At 48.2% G+C, this 13,552-nt stretch overlaps 1 long non-coding RNA gene across 1 annotated transcript in view; it reads left to right on the top strand.

Annotated features, from left to right (window-relative positions):
• Positions 1-13,552, top strand: part of FMNL1-DT (FMNL1 divergent transcript) — a 30,835-nt gene that overhangs the window by 417 nt on the left and 16,866 nt on the right. The window contains exon 2 of the long non-coding RNA NR_147507.1: positions 895-1,081. This is a non-coding gene — a long non-coding RNA (FMNL1 divergent transcript). The remainder of the gene's footprint in view (positions 1-894; positions 1,082-13,552) is intronic.

The following is a 13,552-nucleotide window of genomic DNA, read 5'->3' as shown; positions in this document are numbered from 1 at the left end:
GTGGGAACCCCCTTCCAGGCCCCCCACCTTTTATTTCTCTCCTCCCCTGCTTAGCCCAGAGACGAGCTGAGGACGAGGGGGAGCCATCTCCAAACAGGAACTCCTAAACAGGGTGGGGGGCGCGGACGCAGGCCAGTGGAGACCCCCGCCACCTGTCCCACCTCGACCAACCGTGCGCCTGTGCAGGGCACCCCTACAGGTTTTAGAATGGGGGCACCTATGGAATATGGCAGGCTGCGAGAAGCTGGGCCCGCCAAGGTGGTCCCAAGGAGGAGTGGGGGGTTGCGGAAAGGAGGATGAGAGCCAGCCACAAGGCTGGAAAAGGAGTGGGCACCGCAGAGGAGGGAAAAAGAATCTTGACACTGTCACCGCCAGGGATCTAGGGGGGCCTCTTACCTTGGAGAATAACAATCTCTGATGTCTGCTAATTACAGAAATACTTTCAGAGCTCTTTCATTCATCCTGACAATGGCCAGAGAAGGTAGGTATTGGTAGCCTTATTTTAGAGATGGGGAAACTGAGGCTGAGAGTAGGTAAGTAAGCTGTCCAAGGGCACTCAGCTAACAAAGGACAGAAGCAAGCCTCCTCACTGTCTACCTCCAAAACCTACACTGGCTTGGAGTTGCTGTCCTGGCCCTCCACTGCCCATCTCATGTAGGACGGGAGAGTATGGGGGGCTGGGGTCCCATCTATAGCCTGAATTTGAGACTTTCAGTTGCTCCTCTCATTCCCCATTTAATTTGTGGGGATCCCCAACTGACCCCTCCCTACACTTCCAGGGCACTGAGGAGGGAGGGCCCGCTGAAGGAGCCCCGAATTATCTCTAGGCCAGGTCAGGAGCCATTAGTGTCCCCTCCCCTGACAGCATCCTCCTCCTTCTGCCCTCACATTCAGAGCCACTGACAAGACTTTAAGCAAGAGACGGAGAGTTAACATCTAATCTGGAGGAAGACCCTGGAAGGAGCCAGCCCCTTCCCCCAGGCTGACCTGGTTTAAGCCTTTCTTCTGCCAAGGTCACCAGCACCCCAGATGGGTGAGAGATGTGATCACTGGTTTCGTGGCCTGACCAAGGACCTCCAAGGTGAGTCAAAGCAGAATTCTCCTTGGGCATGCAGGGAAAATGATCCATTCCCTGCACACTGCCATATTCTCCTTCTCAGACAGACCAGAGCCTTGCCCTTGGGTCCTTGCCCTTGAGATTAGCTAGGACCTCCTCCTCTTCTTCTCCTTCTTTCTTCTTCTTCTTGTCTCTATAAGATAACTGTCGTGGAAGACTTTTTTTTTTCTTTTAAGATGGAGTCTCTCGCTGTTGCCCAGGCTGGAGTGCAGTGGCTCGGTCTCAGCTCACTGCAACCTCCACCTCCCAGGTCCAAGCAATTATCCAGTCTCAGCCTCCTCAGTAGCTGGGACCACAGGTGCGTGCCACCACACCCAGCTCATTTTTGTATTTTTAGTAGAGACGGGGTTTTGCTATGTTGACCAAGCTGGTCTCGAACTCCTGACCTCAAGTGATCCGCCTGCCTCGGCCTCCCAAAGTGCTGGGATTACAGGCATGAGGCACCCCGTCCAGCCTGGAAGACTTTTTTTTTTAATGAATAAAAACACATTTTTTTAAAGAATGGATTCCCTGATTCCTCAATGGCTGTCTCTTTCAATTGAACAATAAACCTTTACTTAGCATCAGCTACATGCCCATCACTGTGCTTGGTCCTGCAGATTCTGTGGCAGATGAGAAATGCCTTGGTCCTTGGGCTGCTTGCAGCCTAGCGAGGGACAGACTTTTAACCTCTCTAGGAGAGTGGCTGCTTCAAGTCATCCTATGGGACCAGCTGTTCATGCTTCCTCTTGCCCAGAACTACTTCTGTGAGAGGAAAAGAGAAGGGTAGGAGCGTGCCCTGCAGCTGGAAACCCAAGCCAGGCGGGGAGCCACGAATGCAGTAGTTATCAGACTGTATCTTCAATCCTGGGGGCTTCTCAAGCCATTGCCAGCCACTCTTCACCCAAGGCCTGGTGGAATAAAGCTGGGCTAAGTAACACCTCTTCTGTGGAAAATTATTGTTTCTGCAAGCCTATATTCATTCTCCCTCTCTCTCATGCTGATCAGAACTGTGAGTTACAAAAAAAATGAGAAGATGGAATCAATTATTACGTAGTAAATTTCATTTGCTTGGCAGGAGGTATCTTTCCCATCTTGGCCCACAGAGGAGGAAATCCTAGAAGGGATGACTGAAGCTTGGGACTAACACATTGGTGGATCTGTGCTACCCCCTGCTGGCCGTAGACGGTATGACAGCCAAGATAGGGCAAGGCTTCGAGGGGCGATGGATGGATTCACCGCAGCGGCGACATTTCTGGACTGTTGTCACCTTCAGTGCAGTCACTGGGAATATTCAGAACCCAGGTGATTGATAAGGTTTTCCCAGGGATCTCTTCTCTCCCCTTCACCATTACTCAGTAGGAGCTTCCTTAAAAACGGAAAACGAGAGGCCGGGCGCGGTGGCTCACGCCTGTAATCCCAGCACTTTGGGAGGCGGAGGCGGGCGGATCACGAGGTCAGGAGATCGAGACCATCCTGGCTAACACAACCCCGTCTCTACTTAAAATACAAAAAATTAGCCGGGCGTGGTGGCACGCGCCTGTAGTTCCAGCTACTCAGGAGGCTGAGGCAGGAGAATCGCTTGAACCCGGGAGGCAGAGGAGGTTGCAGTGAGCTGAGATGGCGCCACTGCACTCCAGCCTGGCCGACTGAGACTCCATCTCAAAAAAAAAAAAAAAAAAAGGAAAAAGGGGCCGGGCGCGGTGGCTCACGTCTATAATCCTAGCACTTTGGGAGACCAAGGCGGGCAGATCACGAGGTCAGGAATTTGAGACTAGTGTGGCCAACATGGTGAAACCCCATCTCTACTAAAAATACAAAAAATTAGCCGGGTGTGGTGGCGCATGCCTGTAATCCTAGCTACTCGGGAGGCCGAGGCAGGAGAATCGCTTGAACCCAGGAGGCCGAGGTTGCAGTGAGCCGAGATCACGCCATTGCACTCCAGCCTGGGCGACAGAGCAAGACTCCGTCTTGAGGGAAAAAAAAAAAAAAAAGAAAAAGGGGCCAGGCACCTGTAATCCCAGCACTTTGGGAGGCTGAGGAGGGAAGATCGCTAAAACCCAGGAGTTCAAGACCAGCCTGGGCAACATGGTGAGACCCCATCTCTACAAAAAATGCAAAAAAAAAAAAAACAAAAACAAAAAAAAAAACAGCTGGGCATGATGGTGCGCACCTGTAGTCCCAGCTACTCGGGAGGCTGAGGTGGGAGGATTATTTGAGCCTGAGAGGTCAAGGCTGCAGTGAGCCAAGATCGCATCACTGCACTCTAGCCTGGGTAACAGAGCAAGACCCTGCCTCAAAAAAAAAAAAAAAAAAGGAAAAAGGTTATTACACAGTTCAAAAGAGAAACAAAGTGCAAAAGCATGTGCAAAGAAAGTAAAGTCCCTCCTGGCCAAGTGCGATGGCTCAAGCCTGTAATCTCAACACCCTGGGAGGCTGAAGTGGGTAGATCATTTGAGGTCTGGAGTTTGAGACCAGCCTGGCCAACATGGTGAAACCCCGTCTCTACTAAAAATATAAAAATTAGCTTGGCGTAGTGGCGGGTGCCTGTAATCCCAGGTACTCGGGAGGCTGAGGCAGGAGAATCACTTGAACTTGGGAGGCGGAGGGTGCCGCGAGCCAAGATCACGCCAGTGCACTCTAGCCTGGGCAACAGAGCAAGACTCCATCTCGAAGGAAGGAAGGAAGGAAGGAAGGAAGGAAGGAAGGAAGGAAGGAAGGAAGGAAGGAAGGGGAAAGAAAGGAAAGATCTCTTGCCAATCAGCCTCCCTGTTGCCCTGTTTCCCATTCCCTCCCCAGAGGCAACCACTCTTAACAGTTTTTTTGTTTTTGTTTTTGTTTTTTTTTAGACAGAGTCTCACTCTGTTGCCCAGGCGGCTGGAGTGCAGTGGTGTGATCTCAGCTCACTGCGACCTCCGCTTCCCAGATTCAAGCAATTCTCCTGCCTCAGCCTCCTGAGTAGCTGGGACTACAGGTGTGTGCCACCACGTTCAGCTAATTTTTGTATTTTTAGTAGAGACGGGGTTTCACCATGTTGGCCAGGCTGGTCTTGAACTCCTGACCTCAAGTGATCCACCCGCCTTGGCCTCCCAAAGTGCTGGGATTACAGGTGTGAGCCACCGCGCCTGGCCTCTTAACAGTTCTAATGTATCTTTGCAGAGCTATTTGGAGCATATGCTGTGTATATGTGCGTGTGTGTGTGACACAAATGATAGCACACGCTCTACACTGTTCAGCACCTGCTATTTTCATGTCATAATATACCTGCCTGTAGATAGTCAACATAGTTTTCCATCGTATGGTGTGTCACAATTTATTTACCATTCCCCTCCTAGTGGATATTTATGTATGTCCGCCTTTTATTACTACAAACAATGCTAATTACAGGAAATATCTTGGTACATATATTTGCAGACATATGTGTGTGTGTGAAATAAATTTATAAGTATGGCAATTCTGGGTCAAAGATTATGTGCTCTTAAATGTTTTATAGGTTTTCACAGAATTGCCCTCCAAAAATTTTGTACCAATTTACAATCCCCAACAACGGATGAGATCACCTGTTTCCCCAAATCCTCACAAACAGGTTAATATCAGGCCTTTTGATCTTAGGTGATGACTCTTTAAAAGTCCTGCTCACAGAGCAGTTGATGATCTGTCTTTTTCTTTGGGCCGCGGGTTTCTCCAAGGAAGGGACTGTGTCTTTCTCATACCTACATCCCCAGTGAAGGACTTGACACCATCCTTGGGAGTTACTCAAGAAGTGTCTGCTAAATATTGAGTGAAAGAAACAGAGCTGCATTTTGGCAGGCTGGGAGGGAGAGGGTAAAAGGTTAGGTTTGAACAGGAGGCCTGCTTTTTTTTTTTTTTTTTGAGATGGAGTCTCACTCTGTTGCCCAGGCTGGAGTGCAGTGGCGCGATCTCAGCTCACTGCAACCTCCAAGGAGGACTGCTCTTTAGGGCCACTTTCTCTTCCAGACCCTGGTCAAGCCTCTGCCCCAAATCCAAAAGCCTTCCTCTTGCAGGAGCCTCCCAGGTTGCAAGGTCTGAGGTTGAAGGCCCAGAACTCCCAGTGCAGCTTTCACCCAGCTCTGCTGCATTCCAGGGATGGGCCCCATCATCCCCAAGCTGCCTGAGAACTGGAAACAAACTAGGTGTCCAGCTTTAGGGGATCAGTTAAACCACTGTCCTATAGAACTTTCTGCAATGATGAAAATGTTCTCTATCTGCCCTGTCCAATATGGCAGCCACTGGCCACTCGTAGCTACCGAGTATTCAAGCTGTAGCTAGTTCAACTAAGGAAATAAATAAATGTTACTTAATTTTAATTAATTTCCATTTAAGTAGCCATGTGTGGCTACATATTGGACAGTGAAGGGTTCAGTAAATTATGATATAGCCCCACAATGGAAAACTATGCAGCTGTAAAAAAAAAAAATAATAAGGATGCCAAGAAAAATGGAAAGATCTTCAGGATATATTTTGAAACAAAAATGTGGTACAGGCTGTGTGCAGTGGCTCACGCCAATAATCCCAGCACTTTGGGAGGCCAAGGTGAGAGGCCGAGGCAGGAGGATCACTTGAGTCCAGGGGTTCAAGACCAGCCTGGTCAACATAATGAGACTTCCGTCTCTACAGAAAGTGAAAAAAAAAAAAAAGACAGCATGGTGGTATATGAATGTAGTCCCATCTACTCAGGAAGCTGAGGTGGGAGGATTGCTTGAGCCAGGGAAGTTGAGGCTGCAGTAAGCTGTGATTGTGCCACCACACTCCAGCCTGTGTGACAGAGCAAGACCCCATCTAAAAAAAAAAAAAAAGGCCAGGCACGATGGCTCACACATGTAATCCCAGCACTTTGGGAGGCCGAGGACCGTGGATCACCTGAGGTTGGGAGCTCAAGACCAGCCTGACCAACATAGAGAAACCTCATCTCTACTAAAAACACAAAATTAGCTGGGTGTGGTGGCACATGCCTATAATCCCAGCTACTCAGAAGACTGAGGCAGAAGAACCACTTGAACCCAGGAGGCGGAGGTTGCGGTGAGCCAAGATAGTGCCATTGCACTTCAGCCTGGGTAACAAGAGCGAAACTCTGTCTCAAAAAAAAAAATGTGGTTCAGAACAGTATACATAGTATGTCATCTTTTTTGAAAGAAAGGCAGGTAGGCCGGGCGCAGTGGCTCACACCTGTAATCCCAGCACTTTGGGAGGCCGAGGTGGGCGGATCACGAGGTCAGGAGATTGAGACCATCCTGGCTAACGCGGTGAAACCCTGTCTCTACTAAAAATACAAAAAATTAGCCGGGCGTAGGTGGTGCACTCCTGTAGTCCCAGCTACTCGGGAGGCTGAGGCAGGAGAATGGCGTAAAACCCGGGAGGCTGAGCTTGCAGTGAGCCAAGATCGCGCCACTGTACTTCAGCCTGGGAGACAGAGCGAGATTCCGTCTCAAAAAATAAAAAAAAAAGAAAAAGAAAGGCAGGTAGAGGAGGCTGGATGTGGTGGCTCATGCCTGTAATACCAGCACTTTGGGAGGCCAAGGGGGACAGATCACTTGCAGAAATGTGAGACCGGCCTGGACAACATGGTGAAACCCCATCTCTACACAAAATACAAAAATTAGTTGGACGTGGTAGTGCGCACCTGTAGTCCCAGCTACTCAGGAGGCTAAAGTGGGAGGGTTGCTTGAGCTGGGGAAGTCAAGGCTGCAGTGAGCCAAGATTGCACCACTGCACTCCAGCAGGGGTGACAGAGGGAGACAGCAGGAGTGACAGAGTGAGACCCTGTCTCAAAAAAAAAAAGAAAAGAGCTTTGCACAGTGGTAGTATCGTAGCCAATGAATGAAAGGGAGGTGGAAATAAAAATAAATGTTTATATTTGCTTGAATTTGCATAGGGAAAGCAATAACAGTGGGTGACCTATAGGGAGCTGGGGAATCCTGTTGCGGGGGTAGGCAAGGACAGGGTGGGAACAGAGCTTTCCAGTGAATTTCTTTATATTTCATTTTGGTTGTTGAAACATGTACATATATTACCTATTCAAAAAGTTAAATTAAGGTCAGGTGCAGTGGCTCATGCCCGTAATCCCAGTACTTTGGGAGGTTGAGGTAGGAGGATCACTTTACCCCAGGAGTTGGAGACCAGCCTGGGCAATATAGTGAGACCTCCTTTCTACAAAAAGTTTACAAATTAGCCATAAGCCAGGTGCGGTGGCTCACACCTGTAATCCCAGCACTTTGGGAGGCGGAGGCAGGCAGATCACTTGAGGTCAGGAGTCCGAGACCAGCCTGGCCAACATGGTGAAACCTCATCTCTACTAAAAATACAAAAATTAGCTGGGAATGGCAGCAGGTGCCTATAATCCCAACTACTTGGGAGGCTGAGACAGGAGAATCGCTTGAGCCCGGGAGGCAGAGGCTACAGTGAGTCAAGATCACGCCACTACACTACACTCCAGCCTGGGCAACAGAGCAAGACTCCGTCTCAAAAAAAAAAAAATTAGCCATATACGGTGACACGCTCCTGTAGTCCCAGATACTTGGGAGGCTGAGATGGGAAAGTCACTTGAGCCAGGGAAGTTGAGGCTGCAGAGAGCCAAGATCGCGCCACTGCTCTCCTGCCTGTGCGACACAGTGAGACTATGTCTCAAAAAAATGAAAAGGTGGCTGGGCACAAGGCTCACACCTGTAATCCCAGCACTTTGGGAGACTGAGGCAGGCAGATCACTTGAGGCCATGAGTTCGAGACCAGACTGGCTAACATGGTAAAACCCCATCTCTACTAAAAATACAAAAATTATCTGGGTGTGGCAGTGTGTGCCTGTAGTCCCAGCTACTAGAGAGGCTGAGGCAGAAGAATCACTTGAACCCGGGAGGCAGAGGTTGCAGCGAGCCGAAATTGTACTACTGCACTCCAGCCTGGGTGGCAAAGCGAGACTCCCTCTCAAAAAAAAAAAAAGTAAATTAAAATTAAAGCAAATTGCTTGCTATTTAACCACGAGGGCTGCTCTCTCCCTCTTCTTGGCAACTCGTGATAGTCACTACGTTATCCTTTCTTTTTTTTTTTTTTTTTTTTGAGACAAAGCCTTGTTCTGTCGCCCAGACTGGAGTGCAGTGGTGTGATCTCAGCTCACTGCAACCTCCGCCTCCTGGGTTAAAGCAATTCTTCTGCCTCAGCCTCCTGAGTAGCTGGGATTACAGGTGCATGCCACCATGCCCGGCTAATTTTTGTATTTTTTTAGTAGAGACGGGGTTTCACCATATTGGCCAGGCTGGTCTCGAACTCCTGACCTTGTGATCCGCCCACCTCGGCCTCCCAAAGTGCTGGGATTACAGGTGTGAGCCACTGCACCCAACCCAACGCTATCCTTTCTATGTAACTCACTAGAGGACAGCCCCAGGGAGTGGACCAGCAAAGACCGCATGAGCCATACCCCAGTGACACAGGCTCCCAAACCCGGCCATGTATCACAATCAGAATCTGGGGGGAGTACGGTCAGGGATCTGTGTCTTTTAAAGTCCTCCAGGTAATTCAGTCAGTTACTGACCTGTCCTTGTCAATGCTTCCCAGTGAAGAGAGTACAGGCTACATGTCCCAGGTACATATCCCTTCCCTTTAGACAGCAGTCATCACTGACGTCTTCTGAGTACCAGTGCTGTGCCAGACACTGAGGCATTCTACGTGTTACTGTAAGGCAAACAGCATCCCGGCAGGGCAGGCCTCGCCAATGTGCTCACTGAGCTCGGTGTCCTCTGGAGTGACTGACTTATTCAATGTCATATTGCTGGTAAATGTCAGAACTAGGATCTGAATGCAGTCATAAACTCCCTGAGCCTCTGTTTTCTTCTCTGAAAAAAAAAAAAAATGGTGACATGATTTTATTGAATTGTTTTGAATGTTCAATACAATTTTATGTAAAGCACTTAGCAGAGACTTTTATTTCCAGCAATAAGGTGGACTATATATGTTCAGAAAAACTCTTGTGTACAAAACAGCTAGAAATGCTAGATAAAAAATTTAAAAAAAATGTATATGGGTCTCCTTCCTTCCTTCCTTTCCTTCTTTCCTTCTTTGCTTCTTTGCTTCCTTCCTTCCCTCCCTCTCTCCCTCTCCTTCCTTCTCTCTTTCTCTCTCTTTCTTTCTCTCTCTTTCTCTCTTCCTCTCTTTCTCTCTCTCTCTGTTTCTCTGTTTCTCTCTTTCTTTCTCTTGCTGTGTTGCCCAGGCTGGAGTGCAGTGTTGTGATCTTGGCTCACTGCAGCCTCCACCTCCTGGCTTCAAGCAATTCTCTTGCTTCAGCCTCTTGAGCCTTGAGTAGCTGGGACTACAGGTGTGCATCACCATCCCTGGCTAATTTTTATATTTTTAGTACAGACGGGGTTTCACCATGTTGGCCAGGCTGGTCTCAAACTCCTGACCTCAACTGATCCACCCACCTCGGCCTCCCAAAGTGTTGGGATTACAGGCGTGAGCCACTGCGCCCAGACATGTGTGTTATTTTCAATGCAAGGCTAAGCCAGCAAGAAAACAAGACTCCACAAAGGCACAAATCCAGAAAGGAACAAGACAAAGCCTGGGGTCTCATAAAGAGGAGGAAATTAAATCAGAGATAACGTACCCTTCAAAAAAGTCAAGAGTGAACCAGGCGTGGTGGCTCAAGCCTGTAATTCCAGCACTTTGAGAGGCTGAGGCAGAAGGATCGCTTGAGTCCAAGAGTTCAAGAACAGCCTGGGCAACATGGTGAGACACCATCTCTACAAAAAAATACTTAAAATTAGCCAGGCATGGTGGTACACACCTGTAGTCCCAGCTACTCAGGAGGCTGAGGTGGGAGGATCACGTGAGCCCAGGAGACAGAGGCTGGAGTGAGCCAAGATCATGCCGCCACACTCCAGCCTGGGTGACAGAGCAAGACCCTGTCTCAAAAAAAAATTTTAAAAAGAAAGAAAGAAAAAGTCAAGGGTGCCCAAAAGGTGATATCCTTCGATAGTAATGGAAAAAACATCTACCCAGCAGAGAGAGATGCTAGGGATACTTGCTTACCTCAATCTATCAATAAGATATATCCATTCTAGGCCAGGCACAGTGGCTCACGCCTCTAATCCCAGCACTTTGGGAGGCTGAGGTGGGCAGACCACAAGGTCAGGAGATCGAGATTACAGGCGCATGCCACCATGCCCAGCTAATTTTTGTATTTTTTTAGTAGGAGAGATCGAGACCATCCTGGCTAACACGGTGAAACCCCGTCTCTACTAAAAATACAAAACAATTAGCCGGGCATAGTGGCGGGCGCCTGTAGTCCCAGCTACTCGGGAGGCCAAGGCAGGAGAAAGGCTTGAACCCGGGAGGCTGAGCTTGCAGTGAGCCGAGATCACGCCACTGCACTCCAGCCTGGGCAACGGAGCGAGACTCCATCTCAAAAAAAAAAAAAAAGATATATCCATTCTACAGTTGTATGTACCTAATAACATAGCTTCAAAAATCATAAAACAGAAATACTGGGAAAAATAGGCCGGGCTCAATGGCTCATGCCTGTAATCCCAGCACTCTGGGAGGCCCAGGGGGGCGGATCACAAGGTCAGGAGATGGAGACCATCCTGGCTAACACGGTGAAACCCCGTCTCTACTAAAAATACAAAAAATTAGCCGAGGGTGGTGGCGGGTGCCTGTAGTCCCAGCTACTCGGGAGGCTGAGGCAGGAGAATGGCGTGAACCCGGGAGGCGGAGCTTGCAGTGAGCCGAGATCGCACCACTGCACTCCAGCCTGGGCGAGAGAGCGAGACTCCGTCTCAAAAAAAAAAAAAAAGAAAGAAAAAAAAGAAAGAAATACTGGGAAAAATAGACAAATCTACCAATGGAAGATTTAAATCACCTCCCTCTGGATCTGGTACATCAAGCAGACAAAACATTCAGTAAGGATTTAAAAGGTTTGAGCGATGCAATCAGCAAGCATAATCTAATAGAATATTTTAAATACTCCAGTTCAAACAATTAGTGAACACACTTTTACTTTCAGATACACACGGACTATTTACAAAAATGACCACATATCAGATCATAAAGCAAGTAGTCTCCATCAACTCAAAATATCATATAGACCACATTTTCTAACAGCAATAGAATTAAATTAGAAATCAATAATTTTTAAAAATAAACAACCCCATGCATTTTTAAATGTCAAAATGCACTGGGCGCAGTGGCTCACGCCTGTAATGCCAGCACTTTGGGAGGCCAAAGAGGGTGGATCATGAGGTCAGTAGTTCAAGATCAGCCTGGCCAAGATAGTGAAACCTCATCTCTACTAAAAATACAAAAATTAGCCGAGCGTGATGGCAGGCGCCTGTAATCCTGCTACTCGGGAGGCTGAGGCAGGAGAATCGCTTGAACCCGAGAGACGGAGGTTGCAGAGAGCCAAGATCGTGCCACTGCACACCAACCCAGGTGACAGTGTAAGACTCCGTCTCAAAAAAAAGTCAAAATGCACTTCTAAATAATTCATGGGGCTGGACACAGTGGCTAATGCTCGTAATCCCAGCACTTTCAGAGGCTGAGGCAGGAGACTCGCTTGAGTGCAGGAGTTTGAGACCAGCCTGGGCAACATAGTGAGACCCTGTCTCTATAAAAAAAATTAAAAATAAAAATAGCCTGGCATGGTGGCGCACACCTGTAGTCCCAGCTACTCGGGAAACAGAGGTGGGAAGATTGCTTGAGCCCAGGAGTTAAAGGCTGCAGTGATTCATGATCAAACCACTGCACTCCAGCCTGGACCACAGAGACCCTGTCTCAAAATAAATAAATTAATGAATGAATTAATTAAAAATTTGTGGCTTGAAGAACTCCTAACAGAAATTAGAAAATATCTACAACAGAACATCAAAAATACCTTGTATAGCCCGAGCGCTATGGCTCACTCCTGTAATCCCAGCACTTTGGGAGCCTGAGACGGGCGGATCACCGGAGGTCAGGAGTTTGAGACCAGCCTGGCCAACATGGTGAAACCCTGTCTCTACTAAAAATACAAAAATTAGCCAGGCATGTTGGCGGGCACCTATGGTCCCAGCTACTCAGGAGACTGAGGCAGGAGAATCGCTTGAACCTGGGAGGTGGAGGTTGCAGTGAGCTGAGATCATGCCACTGCACTCCAGTCTGGGCGACAGAACAAGACTCCATCTCAAAAACAAACAAAAAAAGCCATGTATAAAGTTCTGAGCACACAGTGCCCTAAAAATGGAAGTGAAGGTGAGGATGATGAATATGCAGCAATTGCTTGGAGGGAAGGTATCTGCAGGACAAACTTGGCAATAGTCAGTTCTGAGGTCAAAGGAGGAGGGGTAAAGACTAAAGGACTGGCCAGTTGTGGTGGCTCACATCTGTAATCCCAGCACTTTGGGAGTCTGAGGTGGGAGGACGGCTTGAGTCCAGGAGTTAGAGACCAGCCTGAGCAACATAGCAAGACCTTGTCTCTACTAAAAATTAAAAAAAAAATTAGCTAGGCATGGTAGCACAAACCCAAAGTCTCAGCTACTCAGGAGGCCAAGGCAGGAGGATTACTTGAGCCTAGGAGTACGAGGACAGCCTGAGCAACACAGTGGAACCCCGTCTCTACAAAGTGTTTAAAAAGGCCTGGCGCGGTGGCTCATGCCCATAATCCCAACACTTTGGGAAGCCGAGGCAGGCAGATCATGAGGTCAGGAGTTCAAGACCAGACTAACCAATATGGTGAAACCCCATCGCTACTAAAAATACAAAAATTAGCCAGCTGTGGTGCTGTGCACCTGTAGTCACAGCTACTCGGGAGGCTGAGGCAGGAGAATCAGCCGAGAGGCGGAGGTTGCAGTGAGCCAAGATCGCGCCACTGCACTCCAGCCTGGGTGACAGAGTGACACTCCATCTCAAAAAAAAAAAAAAAAAAGTTTAAAAATTAGCCAGGTGTAGTGGTGCACACCTGTAGTCCCAGCTACTGAGGAGGCTAAGGCAGGAGGATTGCTTGAGCCAGGCAAGTAGAGGGTGAAGTGAGCCATGATTGTGCCACTGCACTGCCTGGCCAACAGAGCCAGACCCTGTCTCAAAAAAAACAAAAATTCAAGGGCTGAGTTTGAGAGTGATCACTGAGTCTGGGAAGAGAGAATCCAAAGGATGAGATACAAACAGAAACCCTGTGAACTGGAGATTATTCTAGTTTCATTTTACATTAGTGGCCACTGAGGCTGCTAATGATGAAGTAACTCAAGTCACCCACTTATAAAGTGGCAGAGCCAGGATTCAAACCCACGTTAGCCCTCTTGCTTTTCATGGTGCCTCTGAGGGGACAGCTGAGGGAGGCCAGGAGGAGTTTCTTGGTTAACAACAAATGTTTATATTTTTACTTATTTTATTTATTTATTTATTTGAGATGGAGTGTCTCAAAAAATTTTTTTTGTATTTTTTTTTTTTGTATTTTTAGTAGAGACGGGATTTCACCGT

Source organism: Homo sapiens, chromosome 17 (genome assembly GCF_000001405.40).
Source record: "Homo sapiens chromosome 17, GRCh38.p14 Primary Assembly".
NCBI lineage: Eukaryota > Metazoa > Chordata > Mammalia > Primates > Hominidae > Homo > Homo sapiens.
The sequence above is the reverse complement of the archived record's forward strand: the minus strand, read 5'-3'. Positions and strand labels throughout refer to the sequence as shown.